Below are 15,768 nucleotides of genomic sequence, written 5' to 3' on the forward strand. Positions count from 1 at the left end.
CAGACTGACTGGGAAGTGTTAGTTTAAGAGGAAAAAAGACGAAGAACTTTACCTGTCTTAAATAGAGAATTAAACTCATTTTGGAGGGAGAGGGTTTGAAGTGGTTCCTAATTGGATGATGTTGGCTGGTTTCATCTCAATCCTGAAGGGATCTAGAAATACAGTAGGGTCCCACATTAGCTTTATATGTAATATGGAAGCAGCTTAATGGGGCCTTATAAAGCTTAATTCAGCACTCTTATGCAAGAAGAAATGTCATAACCCAAGGACCACCTAAGAATGAGAAATATTAATAAAAGGAATATTTGTGGGGTCCTTGGCCAAGCTTTGGTGTGGATCTCCAGAAAATTTATGAGAGAGGCAAATTTGCTTTTTTGTTTAAAGCCACTACATTATAATTCTGCCATGTAGCATAGTTATATATGCACTTATTGTATTCCCTCTTACTGGATCATCAGCTCATTATAGGCCAACATTTGTTCATTAAACAAAACATGTTTTAAGTTCCCATTTTGTTCTGAGCGCTAGCAATATAAAGAAAAAGGAAACAAAGATAACATTGCTGTTCTCAAGAAGAGTATCATCTAGTGGTGGATGTGCAAATTTAATTAAGAATTAAATTCATATCTCCTTGTGCAGCAGTTTCCAAAGTGAGGTATGCACATTGAAGGTATGGAAATTTCATATTCCATAATATGATGACATTATGTGATATTTGACAATAATAGAGCATCTATTTATATTTAAAAATGAGAAATTATGTTTAATATTGAATATGTGGATTTACATATATTACATATATATCATTGTTTGTAATTATATATTAAAAATACTTTAGTGATAGTAAGATAGCAGTTGGAAGACAAATATTATATATACCCACTGGATGTCAGTAAACAATTGTTGAATAAAAAGACTCATAATCTCAGGTTAGTAAATCTTCTTATTGTCGCAGGTACACTAAAATCTACTTGTTGTCCTTTTAACCACACGTGCTTCCTCTTCTGCCTATTGCCCCATGAGCAAGTTCCCTCAGTGACATATCCAACTCATAGTTTTCCCTGCATTGACCAACCCAGAAGTCCTAATTCAATCTTGAGTTGAATAGAATTGAATTACATTGCTTGAGTGCATTTCTAATAATGTTTTCATGAGGTAACACATAGCAAGATTCACAGAAGGTTCATTTCAGTCCCCAAGTGTACACATTTTGTCTGAGCAGTTCAAGTTAGCCTCTATATTAATGAACAGATATGACAACCTCTGTGGATCACCAAATACTAGAAACCGTAGTCATGATTAGGTTTCTAATTTTTCTGCCCCAGAGTTCTTGTTCTACTTACTGATGCCACTTCAAGGAAGAAAGTTAGTGTTTATTTTGAGGGGTTATAGCAAGATTTCTGAGACCATCACGATAGATATTTGGGACCCATAATTCTTTGTTATTGGAGGGCTGTCCTGTGCATTGTAGGGTGTTTAGTATTATCTCCATCCTCTACTCACTAGCTGCCAGTAGCAGTTCATTCCCCTCCCCCATTTGTAACATGACAAACGTCTGGGGATATTGCCAAATGTTCCCTGGGGAGTAAAACTGTCCCCATTTGAAAGCCACTGGGTTAGGGTAAAATAGTATGAGGCATTAAAAAATGTACAGTGTAATTTAGCAAGCAGCAGATTAACTATGTAATTGGGTTCAAATGCAGTGTGAATTTCTAAAATGTGAATAATCAAAAATGATGTATTTGAGAGGTTAGAGTCAACTCCAATCCCCTGCTAATCACATTAGTTTTGAGTTGTAAATAATAACTTAAATCTTACTTCCCTCCGATGTTATTTAGCCATGGGGGACAGAGGTTTTAAGTGGTGAAACAGTAAATGGTAGAAAGAGTAAGGTGGAAGATCTACAGATAATATAACAAATTGGTGAAGGATGATTAGTAGCATGTTTTCTGAATAATCAAATGAATCAAGGCTATCAGGAAATTCTGTCGCTCATGACATCCATTGGGAGGTGTGCCCAGAAACAGCCAACAAAAGGTAGCATAGTACATAGGAAAAGATGATCCTTGGAATCTCGTTATTAAAAAGTGGCTCAAGGTCAGTTTCCCAGCACATTAGCAGAGTGCATGTTTTCTGAATGAGCTAACTAATTTTACTCTAAAGGCTTTCTCTAAATTCTAATTGGAGAGTCTTTAAATCTTCAAACATGAAAATGCTGGAGAAGAGATTCAATTATATGTGAATTGAAAATAGGAATAGATATGCTTGACCAGTATGTTTTTCTTTTCCCATTAGAACTAACGGAAAAACATCCAGCCTACTCCAATGGGCTTGCTGTCCATTTGCTGGATTTATGTCAGATGGGGAATTACTCAGAATCCAAGATACTGAAAAAGCAACTTGGGTCAAAACTGTCAATTAAATGGAGAAATTATGTACAAAATTAGGATTTCAGAGACCCAGATCTTTTGGCAGATAGCTAGGTCCTGACGCCCTTTGAAATCGGAATATAGTACAATGACCCTCTGGGGTAAACCTTCCCATTAAATTTGCAATTCTTCAATGTTTGATACTGTCCAGGGAGCAAATGAATTAAGACTTTCTTTTGTAAAATATATTTTTTATTTCTACCTGGCCTAAATTCTGATTCCTGCTTCTCTGTGGACTGCAAATGGAAAGGTTCATGTCCTATGGCAAGTGCCATCTGTAACTTATGCTTCTGAAAATTTAAAATGGCTATAGTTTATTGTTTTGTCACTATGTGTTACATCTACAGATTGTTTAAATGACAAAAGGAAAAAAGGGCTCTGTATGTATGCAAAAGAACATGTAATTAGATGCAAATAAGCAATAAGGCAAAGAAAAGACATTTAGCTTTTGCTTGTGTAATGTGATATAGGTTTTGTTATATACATATCATATTTATTTATCATATAGCAACTGGATGCACAGACTTTAAAACCACTTGAATATTAGATTTTGCATAATTGGGAGGCTGCCGTCACCAGTCCATAGCACAAAGTCAAAAGGCATTTTAGGAATTGCTTACAATGAATTGTAGGTCATTTGAAATAAATTTGTAGGAAGCCTATTAAATCTCTTTCTATCTCTCCTCTCTCTCTCTTTCTTTTTTCGCTACAAAACACCCTAAAGATCATTTCTCTAATGTTTTGGTCTGTCAAATCTGTATAAACAAGTATAAATGTTAAAAAAGTAAAGAATACTAATCAAGAGACACAAGACATACACTGCCTAATAAATCTTGCCTTCAATTTATTTGTCTAGTACTACAAAGGCAAAGGAGATATCAATTAATATAGGCAAAGAGGACCCATAATTTATAATTAACTGGCAAGTGGTTTGTAACAAACAGCAGCACCGAGTCTAATAGCCGGTAGAAAAATAACTAGTGTTGATTTGTCCCTCGGCAAATTAATAGAGTGCTTATCAATGACAGGGTTACATAAAACTGCTAAATAAATAATCATCAGTGAGTTCGAGTGAAGCAGATCTTTAACAAGCTTAATCTGAACCTCTTGACATCTGTAGACTATGAAGAGATTAAATGGTAAGAAAGAGAAGATACAGTGTGCACATTGTAAGCCTGCTCAGTAAGTGTACAAGATCATGTTCTTATGTAATGAGAAATAAAGAAACATTTTTATTGCAAAATTACATTGAAAAATGATTTTCATTATAATTAGAGTGAAAATTATAAAAGATATATCAAGGAAATGCTGAACTGGAATTCACCAGATGAGAATTTCACTACATCTCTTAACAATGAAAACACATCATTTTAGTCACTTTTGATATATTTTTGCTCGTTTGCTTCACTTTTGTTTGATATATTTTTGCTCGTTTGCTTCACTTTTGTTACTCACCTTTGTACACGCCACATGTTCCAACTCATATGTCACCACCACTACATCCGTGAGCTTGTTTTTGGTTATTATGGTTCCTCTATAGAAGAAAATTAATCAAGGTTCTATATTTAAATGGACATTTCCACCCTGCCTTCCCACCTACCCTCCCCCTAGGCATATATATGGAATTCTCAGTTTTTTTGTTGCAGAGCATTTTATTACTCCTGGTTTGGACTGTGCATCATTTGCATTGCTGGGAATTAATAGACCTGTATAATACCTCAGGTCTTGTCTTTTCTATAAGAAAATATTTTTAAATTACCATCTTTTGTAGGCATATTAACATCATGATACCACTTGGGTTTTCAGCACTAGTGAACTAAAAAATGCCTGTTTAAGATTGATATAGATACAGATATATAGTTGGAGCTTCTCACAAGTGGGGAGATCCCCCCTAAATTTTAAATAGAAACCTGATTTCTAGTGGGATAAATATATATTTCCATAGGTGTTCCTGTGAGAGACAAAACATGTCTTTGTCCATTTGTGCTGCTATAAAATACCCTAAGGCTGGGTATTTTATAAAGAAGAGAAATATTTATTTTCTCACAGTTCTGGGGTCGGGGAAGTCCAAGATCCAAGATTCTGGCAAGTTCGGTTTCTGGCAAGGGCTGCTGTCTGCTTCCAAGATGGCACCTTGAACACTGCATCCTCATATGGTAGAACAGAGGGGTAAAAAGGGACCAAATACTCTGTGAAGCCTCTTTAATAAAGCCCTTAATCCCATTCACGAGGGAGGAGCCTCATGACCTAATCACCTCCTAAAGTCCTCACCTCTTAATACTGTTGCATTGAGGATTAAGTTTCAACATCGATTTTGGAGGGACACAAAACCATAGCATATTCAAACTATAGCACATGCAAACATGGGGCTAGAAAGTCAAGAGCTGCATCCAGTGTCCCATTTTTGTTTAGGGCAGAACGTATCATTATTACAATTTCCACATTCCTTGGGCTTGGGGATGCCACCTCTGTAGGGGTTCACCATTAGACTTGTCTTTGCTCTACTTATGAGCTACCAGTGAAGATCAGCTTCAGATATGATTGATCATTTACGTTTTATTATTTGGATATGTCTTATTTTCTCATGTTAAATATTAGCTAGCACCAACAAGAACTGCTAAATATTCAGTGGGCATGTGTGTGTTTGTCTTTAATGTGCTTGGTAACTTACAGCAAACTACTCTGTTGGAGACATTAAATTACTTGACAATACTCAAATCTTAGTTATCAGCATCACTGCTTTCCTGAGCTTCAGACTGAATTTCCAACAACCTTTTGGGCATCTCACCCACAATATTCTAAGAGAACTTTATATTTACATATTAGACACTCATCTCATAAGTTAGTGGCATCATATTTCATCAAACTGTTCAAATTTAAGTAGGAGACATCCTTAATTTCCTATTCTTCCTCATGTTTTTTATACACTCTAAAGCCATCCAAATGAATCACTATATTCTTCTATATTTTTATTATTTGTGTTTGAGACAGGGTCTTGCTCTGTCACCCAGGCTATAGTGCAGTGGCATGATCATAGCTCACTGCCACCTCAAATTTCTGGATTCAAGTAATCTTCTTTCCTGACCTCCCCAAGTGCTGGGATTACAGGCATGAGCCGTTGCACCCGGCTGATACTCTTTAATTAAGCATCTAAAAGCACTCTCTTGTATATCCCTTCCTGTTTATTTCTACTGTCACCACCTTGATTCAGGCCCTTATTATCTCTTAGCTGAGATTTTGTAATAGCCTCTGAGGTAAGAATAATGACCCCCCAAAGGTGTCCAGGTCCTAGTCTCCAGAGCCTATGAATATGTTACATTACATGTCAAAGGGGAATTAAGATTGCAGATGGGTTTAATGTTGCTAATCAACTGACTTTAGGGAGATTATCATGGATTATGGCAGTGGGTCCAATTTAATGACAGGGATCTTTAAGAGTAGAAGAGGGGGACAGAAGAGGAGTGAGAATGATTTGATTTAAGTAGGACTTGACCCAGTGTTGCTGGCTTTAAAGATGGAGAAAGTGGCCATAAATAAACGACAAGGAAATGGATTCTCCCAACAGCCTCCAGAAGAAAGGCAGCCCTGCCAACACCTTGGTTTGAGCCTAGTGAGACCTGTGTCAGACTTCTAGCCTGCAGAACTGAAAGCTAATAAATTTGTGCTGTCTTAAGTCACAAAATTTGTGGGAGTTTGTTATAGCAGCAGTAGGTAAACAAATACAGTCACCAGTTCTTAGCCAGTCCCCTGGCCTTTAGCTTCCTTCTTTTGGATCTATTTTCCTTAGTTTTACCAAAATTATCTTTAAAAATACAGATCTGGCTATGACACATTCTTGTGTTGAATTCTTTGATGGTTTCCTCCATTGACTAGGATAAACTTGCACTGCTTTATCATGGCACACAAGGCTCTGCGTTATCTGTTCTCAGTTTCCAGCTTTTATGCCTCCTGTAGGTTTGCCCTTTCCTCATACTCCCCCTTCCCCACATTCCAAAAAAATGTATTCTATACTTAATACTTATTAGCTTACTCAGTTTCTGGAAAACACCAATAACCTTTATAGCTGCTAAGTGCTTGTTTATGCTGGTCACTTTATGTGGTATGTTCATTTCCTTGCTGTCTCCCTGATGTGTTTACCAAGCACATTCTTTAGTGCTGAGTTCAGGGATCTCCTTCATGGCTCTTTGCATGATATGATTACTCCTCCTTCCACAGCTGCTCCCTCTCAGACTAAGTGAGCACCTACTATATCCCAGCCATTCAGTTGTTCTAAACATTTTACAAGTATTAACTTGTTTAATCCTTGTAACAAGCCTATGGGAAAGAGATATTCTCATCTCTATTTTATGGCTGATAAAATTGAAGCACAGGGAAGATAAGTAATGTTCCCAAGTTAGAAAGCTAGTAAGAGATGGAGCTAAAATTCAATCCCAGGCATCTGTGACTCCAGAATTTGTTATCTGAACAATACTCTGTACCTTCAAATACCAGTCAAGTTAGTGAATAAGGAGAACATCTGCTTTTTCGGCTCTGTGAAAATAGGAAACTTTTTACTGAAGGAGTGGACAACATGATATAGCCCCCCACTCTCTGTGGTCTCATTAACTTTGATATATTTGGTTTATCAAGCAAAATCTGTTCATGCCAAAATTGTATTTTCTAAAATGTTTTTGAAAATGCTTACATCTATGTCCATGAAGGATTTGATAAGTAGTTTTTTTGTAATGCCTATTTTTGATTTTGCTTTCAGACTAATGCTGGTTTCATAGAATGAGGTGGGAATTATCCCTTCTTCTCTGATTTTATAAAATAATTTCTGTGAAATTGGCACTATTATTATTTTCTTATATGTTTGGAAGAATTCACCAGTAAAGTCATTAGATTTTAGAGTTTTCTTTCTGGGAAAGTTTTAAACTTTAAAATAAATAAAAATATGTAATAGGGCTACTCAGATTATTTATTTCTTCTTGAGTGAGTGTTGGTAGTTTGTTTCTTCAAGGAATTCTTTCATTTCATCTAAGATGTTGAATTTATTGACATAAGGTTGTATATAGTATTCCCTTATCCTTTAAATATCCTGAAAATCGTAATGATGTCACCTCTGTATTGCCTGAATTTGGTAATCTATATCTCCTCTCCCTTTTCACTAATTAATCTGGCTGTAAGTTTACCAATTTTATTGATTTTTTTCAAAGAAGCTGCTTCTGGTTTTATTAATTTTTTAAAATCATTTTTCTATTTTCTATTTCACTGATTTCTTCTCTGATAGTTATTATTTCCTTTCTTCTCTTCACTTTAAATTACCTTTTTTTGTGTGTGGCTGCTGCTTTTGTTTCTTATGGTAAAAGCTGAGTTTATTAATTTAAGACCTTTCTTCTTCTCTTATATAGGCATTTTCTGTTGTAAATTCCCTCCCCAACCACCAGTACTGCTTTACTGGAATTCACAAATTTTGATACACTGTGTTTTCATTTCCATTCTGTTCAAATTACTTTCTACTTTCCCTTTTGATTTCTTCTTTAACCTATGGTTTATTAGAAATGTGTTAAAATTTCTAAATATTTGGGAAATTCATTTCTTTTGATTTCCTATTTAACTTCCTTTGAAGTTAGAAAACATATTTTTTAAGACTTAAATTCTTTTAAATTTATGGAGACATATTTTTATGGCTCAGAAGTTAGCCTATCTTGGTGTTTGTAGTGCATTTGAAAAGTAGAGTTTTTTGAGATAGGGTCTTGCTCTGTCACCCAGGCTGAAGTACAGTTGGGTGATCACAACCCACTGCAGCTTCAACCTCCAGGGCTCAAGACAGAATGTATTTTCTAATGGTTGTAGGATGGAGTGTTCTATATATATGTATTACTTAAGTTAATTTGGTTGATACCATTGTAAAATCTCTATGTCCTAACTGGTTTTTTGTTCTATCAATTATTAAGAAAGAGATATTAGATTTCTAGATTAAATTTATGAATTTTTCTATTTCTCCATGTAACTCTCAGTTTCGTTTCATGTATTTTGAAATTATTTTATTAAATATATACACATTTAGAATTTTTATGTACCAATCCTTTTATCATTATGAAATTACCTTCTTTTCCACTGCTCATCTGCTCATAGTCTTTGCCTTGGTGTCTACTTTGTCTGATATTAATATAGTCACTCCAGCTTTCTTTTGGTTATCATTAGAATGGAACATCTTTTTCTATACTTTTAAAGTATTTGTTTCTTTATGTATAAAATGTGCTTCTTGTAAATGGTATATAGGCCATTCTTTTTTTAATCATTTTTTGAGAATTTTTGCCTGTTAATTGGAGTGTGATATGGTTTGGCTGTGTCCCCACCCAAAATATCATCTTGAATTGTAATCTGAATTGTAATCCCCACATGTTGGGGGGAGGGGCCTCATGGAAGGTGATTAGATCATGGGGGTGGTTCCCCCATTGCTGTTTTCATCATAGTGTGTGGAGTTCTCACAAAATCTGATGATTTTATAAGGGGCTTTTCCCCACTTCACTCTGCACTTCTCTCTCCTGCCACCATGTGAAGAAGGATGTGTCTGCTTTCCATCTTGCCATGATTGTAAGTTTCCTGAGGCCTCCACAACCATGTGGAACTCTGAGTCAATTAAAAATCTTTCCTTTATAAATTACCCAGTCTTAGGTATTTTCTTCATGGCAGTGTGAAAACATACTAATAGAGTAAGCTGGTACTTCAGAGAGTCGGGCACTGCTGTAAAGATACCCGAAAATGTGGAAGCAACTTTGGAACTGGGTAACAGACATAGGTTGGAACAGTTTGGAGGGCTCAGAAGAAGACAGGAAGATGTGGGAAAGTTTGGAACTTCCTACAGACTTGTTGAATGGCTTTGACCAAAATGCTGATAGTGATACGAACAATAAAGTCCAGGCTCAGACAGAGCTGAGGAACTTCTTGGGAACTGGAGCAAAGGTAACTCTTGCTATACTTTAGCAAAGAGGCTGGCAGCATTTTACCCCTGCCGTAGAGATCTGTGGAACTTTGAACTTAAGAGAGATGATTTAGGGTATCTGGCAGAAGAAATTTCTAAGCACCAAAGCATTCAAGAGGCAAAAGAACATAAAAGTTTGGAAAATTTGCAGCCTGACAATGTAGTAGAAAAGAAAAACCCATTTTCCGAGGAGAAACTGAAGCTGGCTGCAGAAATTTGCATAAGTACCGAGGAGCCAAATGTTAATTGCCAATACAATGGGGAAAATGTCTCCGGGGCATGTCAGAGGGCTTCACAGCAGCCCCTCCCATCAGAAGCCCAGAGGCCTAACAGGAAAAAATGGTTTCATGGGCTGAGTCCACTGCCTTGCTGCTTTGTGCAGTCTTGGGACTTGGTGCCTTGCATTCCAGCTGTGGCTAAAAGAAGCTAATGTATAGCTCAGACTATTGTTACAGAGGGTGCCCCAAGCCTAAGTGGCTTACATATGGTGTTGGGCCTGTGGGTGAACAGAAGTCAAGAACTGAGGTTTGGAACCTCCGCCTAGATTTCAGAGGATGTATGGAAACACCTGGATATCCAGGCAGAAGTTTGCTACAGGGGCAGAGCCCTCATAGAGAACCTCTGTTAGGGCAGTGGGGAAGGGAAATGTGGGGTCAGAGCCCCACACAGAATCCCCACTGGGGTACTGCCTAGTGGAGCTGTGAGAAAAGGGCCACCATCCTCCACACCCCAGAATGGTAGATCCACTGACAGCTTGCACCATGTGCCTGGAAAAGCCACAGACACTCAATGCCAGCCTATGAAAGCAGCTGGGAGGGTGATTGTACCCTGCAAAGCCCCAGAGGCAGAGCTGCCCAAGGCCATGGGAGCCCACTTTTGCATCAGCATGACCTGAATGTGGGACATGGAGTCAAAGAAGATCATTTTGTAACTTTGAGGCTTAATGACTGTCCTGCTGGATTTTGGACTTGCATTGGTCCTGTAGCACCTTTGTTTTGGCCAATGTCTCCCATTTTAAGTGGGTGTATTTACTCAATGCCTGTACCTTCATTGTATCTAGGAAGTAGCTAACTTGCTTTTGGTTTCACACACTCATAGGAAGAATGGACTTGCCTTGTCCAAATGAGACTTTGGATTTGGACTTTGGGGTTAATTTCAGAATGAGTTAAGACTTTGAGGGACTGTGGGAAAGGCATGATTGTGTTTTGAAATGTGAGAACCTGAGATTTGGGAGAGGCCATTGGTGGAATGATATGATTTGGCTGTGTCCCTACCAAAAATCTCATCTTGAATTGTAATCTGAATTGTAATCCCCACATGTTGGGGGCAGTACCTCATGGGAGGTGATTAGATCATGGGACCAGTTTCCTCATGCTATTCTCATGATAGTAAGGTTTCATGACATCTGGTGGTTTTATAAGGTCTTTCTCCCCTTCCCTCTCTACTTCTCTCTCTCCTGCCACCACATGAAGAAGGATGTGTCTGCTTCCCTTCTGCCATGATTGTAAGTTTTCTGAGGCTTCCCCAGCCATGTGGAACTGTGAGTCAATTAAACCTCTTTCCTTTATAAATTACCAAGTCTCAGGCATTTCTTCATAGCAGTGTGAGATTGGACTAACACAAAGTGTTTAAACCATTTTTATTTAATATGATTGTTGACATGTGTGGAAAAAGCTAAGTCTATTATCTTTCTGTTTTCTATTTGTTTCTTTTTTCTAACTCTTTTTTTTTTTTAACTTTTCTGGGTGGTTATTTGTATTATTTGTGTTCATTTTCACACTGCTATAAAAATACCTGATACTGGGTAATTTATAAAGAAAAGAAGTTTAATTGGCTAACAGTTCCACAGGCTGTACAGGAAGAATGGCTGGGGAGGCCTCAGGGAAATTCCAATCATGGCAGAAGGAGAGGGGGAAGCAGGCACATCTTCACATGGCCAGGGCAAGAGGAAGAGAGAGAGGTGGGAAGTGCTACACACTTTTAAACAACTACATCTTGTGATAACTCACTCACTATGAGGAAAATAACACCAAAAGGGAAATCTGTCTTCATGATCCAATCATATGGATTGGATTTTATACATCTGAAACCAATTTTCATTTCATCTTTACATTTGAAAAATATGTTCCCTGGTATGGAATTCTAGTTTAATAGTTACTTTTTTTTTTTTTCTATCAGTACTTTAAAGGTGTTGCTCCACTGGCTTCTCCTTTGCACTGTTTCTGAAGAGCAATATGCTGTAACTCTTACCTGTCTTCCTCTGTGTGTCTTGTGGCTCTTTCTTTGGCTACTTTTAGAACTTTGTTTTTTCACCAGGTTTGATCAATTGGGGGTAGTTTTTCTTTATGTTTCCTGTACTTGAGCTCATTGAGATTCTTGAATTTGGAGTTTATAGTTTTCATCAAATTTGAAAACATTTTAGGCATAATTTCTTCAAATTTTTTCTCCACTTCCATCCTCTCCTTATAGGATCCCAATTACATGTATATTAGGCAACATTAAGCTGTCTGTCCCTCAGCTCACTGATGTTTTTTAAAATTATTGTTTTGTTCTTTTTATTTTTTTGCTTTTGCTTTTGTTTTTGTTTTTGTTTTGTTTTGTTTACAGATAGGGAGGGTTTCACTTTGTCACCCAGGCTGGATTAGAGTGATGTGATCATAGCTCATTGCTGTCTGGAACTCCTGGGCTCGAGCAATCTTCTTGCCTCAGCCTCCTGTGTAGCTAGGACTAGGTGTGCTCCACCATGACTGGCTAATTTTTTATTTCTATTTTTGTAGAGATGGTGTCTCACTGCATTGCCCAGCCTGCTTTTAAACTCTTGGTCTCAAGTAATCCTCCCACCTTGGCCTCCCAAAGTGTTGGGATTGTAAGTATGAGCCCCTACACTCAGCCTGCTCTTTTATTTTGGATGGTTTTTATTGCTGTTTTCAAATTCACTAATCTTTTCTTCTACAGTGACTAATAATGCTGTTAATCCCATCCTGGTTAGTTCTCTGGAAGTTTGATTTTGATCTTTTTTATCCTTTATGTCTTTTCTTAGCTTTTTGAATATATAGAACGGAGTTATAACAATTGTTCTAATGGCCTCATCTTCTGACAGTAACATCTGTGCCTATTTTGGGTTGGTTTTAATTACTGATTTTTCTGCTCCTTAAGGTTTTGGTTGTCTTTTCTTTTTTCTTTTCTTTTTCCTTTTCTCTTCTTGATTCTTTACATGTCTAGTAATCTCGGAACTGTGATTTTACCCTGTTGGGTGCTGATTATTTTTGCATTTATATAAATATTTTTGTCTTTTGTTTGGGACACAACTAAGTTACCTGTAGGTTTAATTTTGGAGGGTCTTACTTTTAAGGTTTTGAACTGAGTCCAGAGCAGTGTTTGGTCTAGCGCTAGGTGTTTCCCACTAGTAAGGCAAGAAACTCCTGTGTACCCTTCACAATGCCCTGTGAATTATGACGTTTCCTTGCCAGTAGGAACACTCTTCTCAGCCCTCTTTGGCCTCCTGGCACTGTTTTCTCTAATCCTTTTGGATACTTCTTTCCCTGGCCTCAGGCAGTTTCATCACAGGCCTGTGCTAATAACTACTCCGCTTAAGTACTCTGAGGGCCTCTGCAGATTTCCAAAGTCCCTTCTCTGGGCAGCCCTCTTCTCTCTGGCACTGTCTTGTGAACTGTCAGCTGCCTTTGTCTCCCTATACTCTCAGCTCGGTCTCTTCAACTAATGATTGGGCTGTGCTCCGCCTGGGTTCCTCATCCCTGTACCGCAGCCTAGAAACTCTCAAAGTATATTTTATGGCAATTGTAGGGTTCACCTCACTTGTTTCACATCCCTTAGGGACTACTGTCCTTTGTTGCCTGCTATCTAGTGTCTTGAAAACCATTGTAATGATCTGGTTTTTATTTTTTCAGGCAGAAGTTAAATGTGGTCACTTTTACTCCCTCTTGGTTGGAAGTAATGTCAAGTTAACATTCTTGTTGCTCACTTAAGGGCTTCTTGGTGGAAACAAAGACCCAGAACCTAAAGTTTGAATTTTCTGTTTCGATGAATTCTGATGGACCAGAAGCTTTTTCTACCTCAGTGACCTCACTGTATTTGCTAGGAAGAATCAACTGATGGCCTCTAGCAGAAATGGGGTATTCAAGACAAGCTTCTAAGGAGCCTGTCCTGATAGTATTAACCCACCCGGCAATCCCAGCTACATTCTGTAGCACTTAGGTCTAAAGCTGTATTTGGACAACCTCCATGGTAGGTGCCTGTAATAAAAAGTCACACCATAAAAATAGACATAGATTCTTAGGAGACCCATGGCTTTGCACTAAAAGATAAAGGAAAAAAACTAAATCTGAGCCTTCAAAAATTGTGTAGAAAATTTTGAGAACTGGATGAGAAGTTTTTCTGCTTTTATGCAGTACTTATTTTTGTCGATTTTTTAATCAACTGTAGCTCCAAAATTATTCCTGGGCCTGACATTTCACAGGATCATTTGCCATTCAGATGTGTTGCTCACTTTTGTGTGACTGATCTGCAGAGCCTAGGACCAAACATTTTTAATAAAAGTTTAAACAATTACAAAAGACAGTATAGAGTCCTCATACCATGTTTCGAAAGGCTTTAGGTTGTTAACATTGAAATGGATGTCAGGTTTGATAAAAGAAATAAAAGTACTTTTTTTAGTTCATAATGAATGTTTTCACTTCAGGGCTATGGGAGTCATGTTTCTACATATTTCCAAGCATGCGACTTTTCCAGGATAATGTAACTCAGGACTCCCAGGCCTTCACTGTCCAGAGGAAGATCAAAACTACAGAAAGAAACACTGAAGGCTGTTTTCCTGGATTGCTTTCCTGAGGGCTTTATGATCTTCTCAGGCTTCCTTACATGTCTGGTGCTAGGAATTTCTAGGGAGCAGCTAACTTTATGCTTCTTGAACTAGTCGTTTTTGAAGGAGATGAGCATGTCTTCATTTTCCTTTCTCCTGCTCCTTTTCCCCATTATTATGTCTCTTGCCACTACAAAAGGGTGACTATTCCATGGTACCTGTAAAGATGGCACTTCTCCTGCCCATTGACAAATGCGTCCATTCTCCCCATGTCTAGGGTACAACTACGTATACCGAGAGTACCTTACCTCTTGAGGGCATCCCCTGAACAGTTGATGCCAACTCATAGCTGGGCTAAGATTCTTCATGCCTTCTGCCAAAGGGGAGTCTGGTTGTTATCTGGGTCGAGAACGTTGGCTATTATTGTTGCCACTGCTGCTGACTTCTTGGACTCTGAATAAATCATTGAAGTTTTATGAAATTTTTCTTTGCTTTTGCTGACTCTCCTGTTGCAGTCATACCACCCCAGGATTCAAAGGATTTAACTTTTGAGCTAATCTATGGAAAACACTTAGGAGAAAGTAGAATTTATTCACAGAACTACAAAAAATACCCATATGACTGGAGGCTATCTGTGTAAATAGCCGTGTAATACTGGGGTCTAGAAGGGCTCCTTAAAAGAGGACCCTCTTCTTTGATATAGCTCACCTTTCATTTGAACTAATTATTGTTCTTATTCCTGTTTTCATCTATTTGCCCTTATTTGCATTAATGGCACACTTTTGAACAGCAGCATATTTCGATGCCCCTTTGAAGGAATTAAATTTGCATCCACAACCATCATACGACTCACGTGGTTGCCTTTATCACAATGTGGCTGTGTGAGTAGAGCAATTTGTTTTCCTGGGCTCACTCCATTATGCTCTCATGCATCTCTGCTTTTTTTTCTTTTCTTTCTTTCTTTTTTTTGAGACAGAGTCTCACTCCATCATCCAGGCTGGAGTGCAATGACGCGATCTCGGCTCACTGCAACCTCCGCCTCCCAGGTTCAAGCAATTCTTCTGCCTCAGCCTCCCAAGTAGCTGGGACTACAAGCACCTGCCACCATGCCAGGCTAATTTTTTTTTTTTTTTGTATTTTTAGTAGAGACGGGGTTTCATCATGTTGGCCAGTCTTGTCTCAAACTCCTGACCTCAGGTGATCTGGACACCTTGGCCTCCCAAAGTGCTGGGATTACAGGCCTGAGCCACCATGCCTGGGTGCATCTCTGCTTTTACTGTCTATTCCATAGGTCAATTTTTCCCTGGGAGGACCCCGATTCTTCATATAAATATACCAGAAAGAAACTTGCACCACCAGCCTTTCAAACATACCTAAATATGTCTGAATTCTCAGGTGAACATATTTTTTGCTCAACTGAAACTTCTGTTACTGTTCAAACAAACATCTTTACCTGGCATTCTCTTGGGAATGAGTAACTAACAATGAATTTCTGGTGGCAATGAAATGGTACAGCCTATAGGTAGGAGGGCCTGCTGAGCAAGTCCTTAGAG

General features: G+C 38.1%; 1 long non-coding RNA gene across 1 annotated transcript in view; it reads left to right on the top strand.

The window, feature by feature from the left end:
* Positions 1 to 15,768, top strand: part of LINC01122 (long intergenic non-protein coding RNA 1122) — a 543,014-nt gene that overhangs the window by 412,265 nt on the left and 114,981 nt on the right. The gene's annotated exons all lie outside the window — the stretch shown is intronic.

Source organism: Homo sapiens, chromosome 2 (genome assembly GCF_000001405.40).
Source record: "Homo sapiens chromosome 2, GRCh38.p14 Primary Assembly".
Classification (NCBI taxonomy): Eukaryota; Metazoa; Chordata; class Mammalia; order Primates; family Hominidae; genus Homo; species Homo sapiens.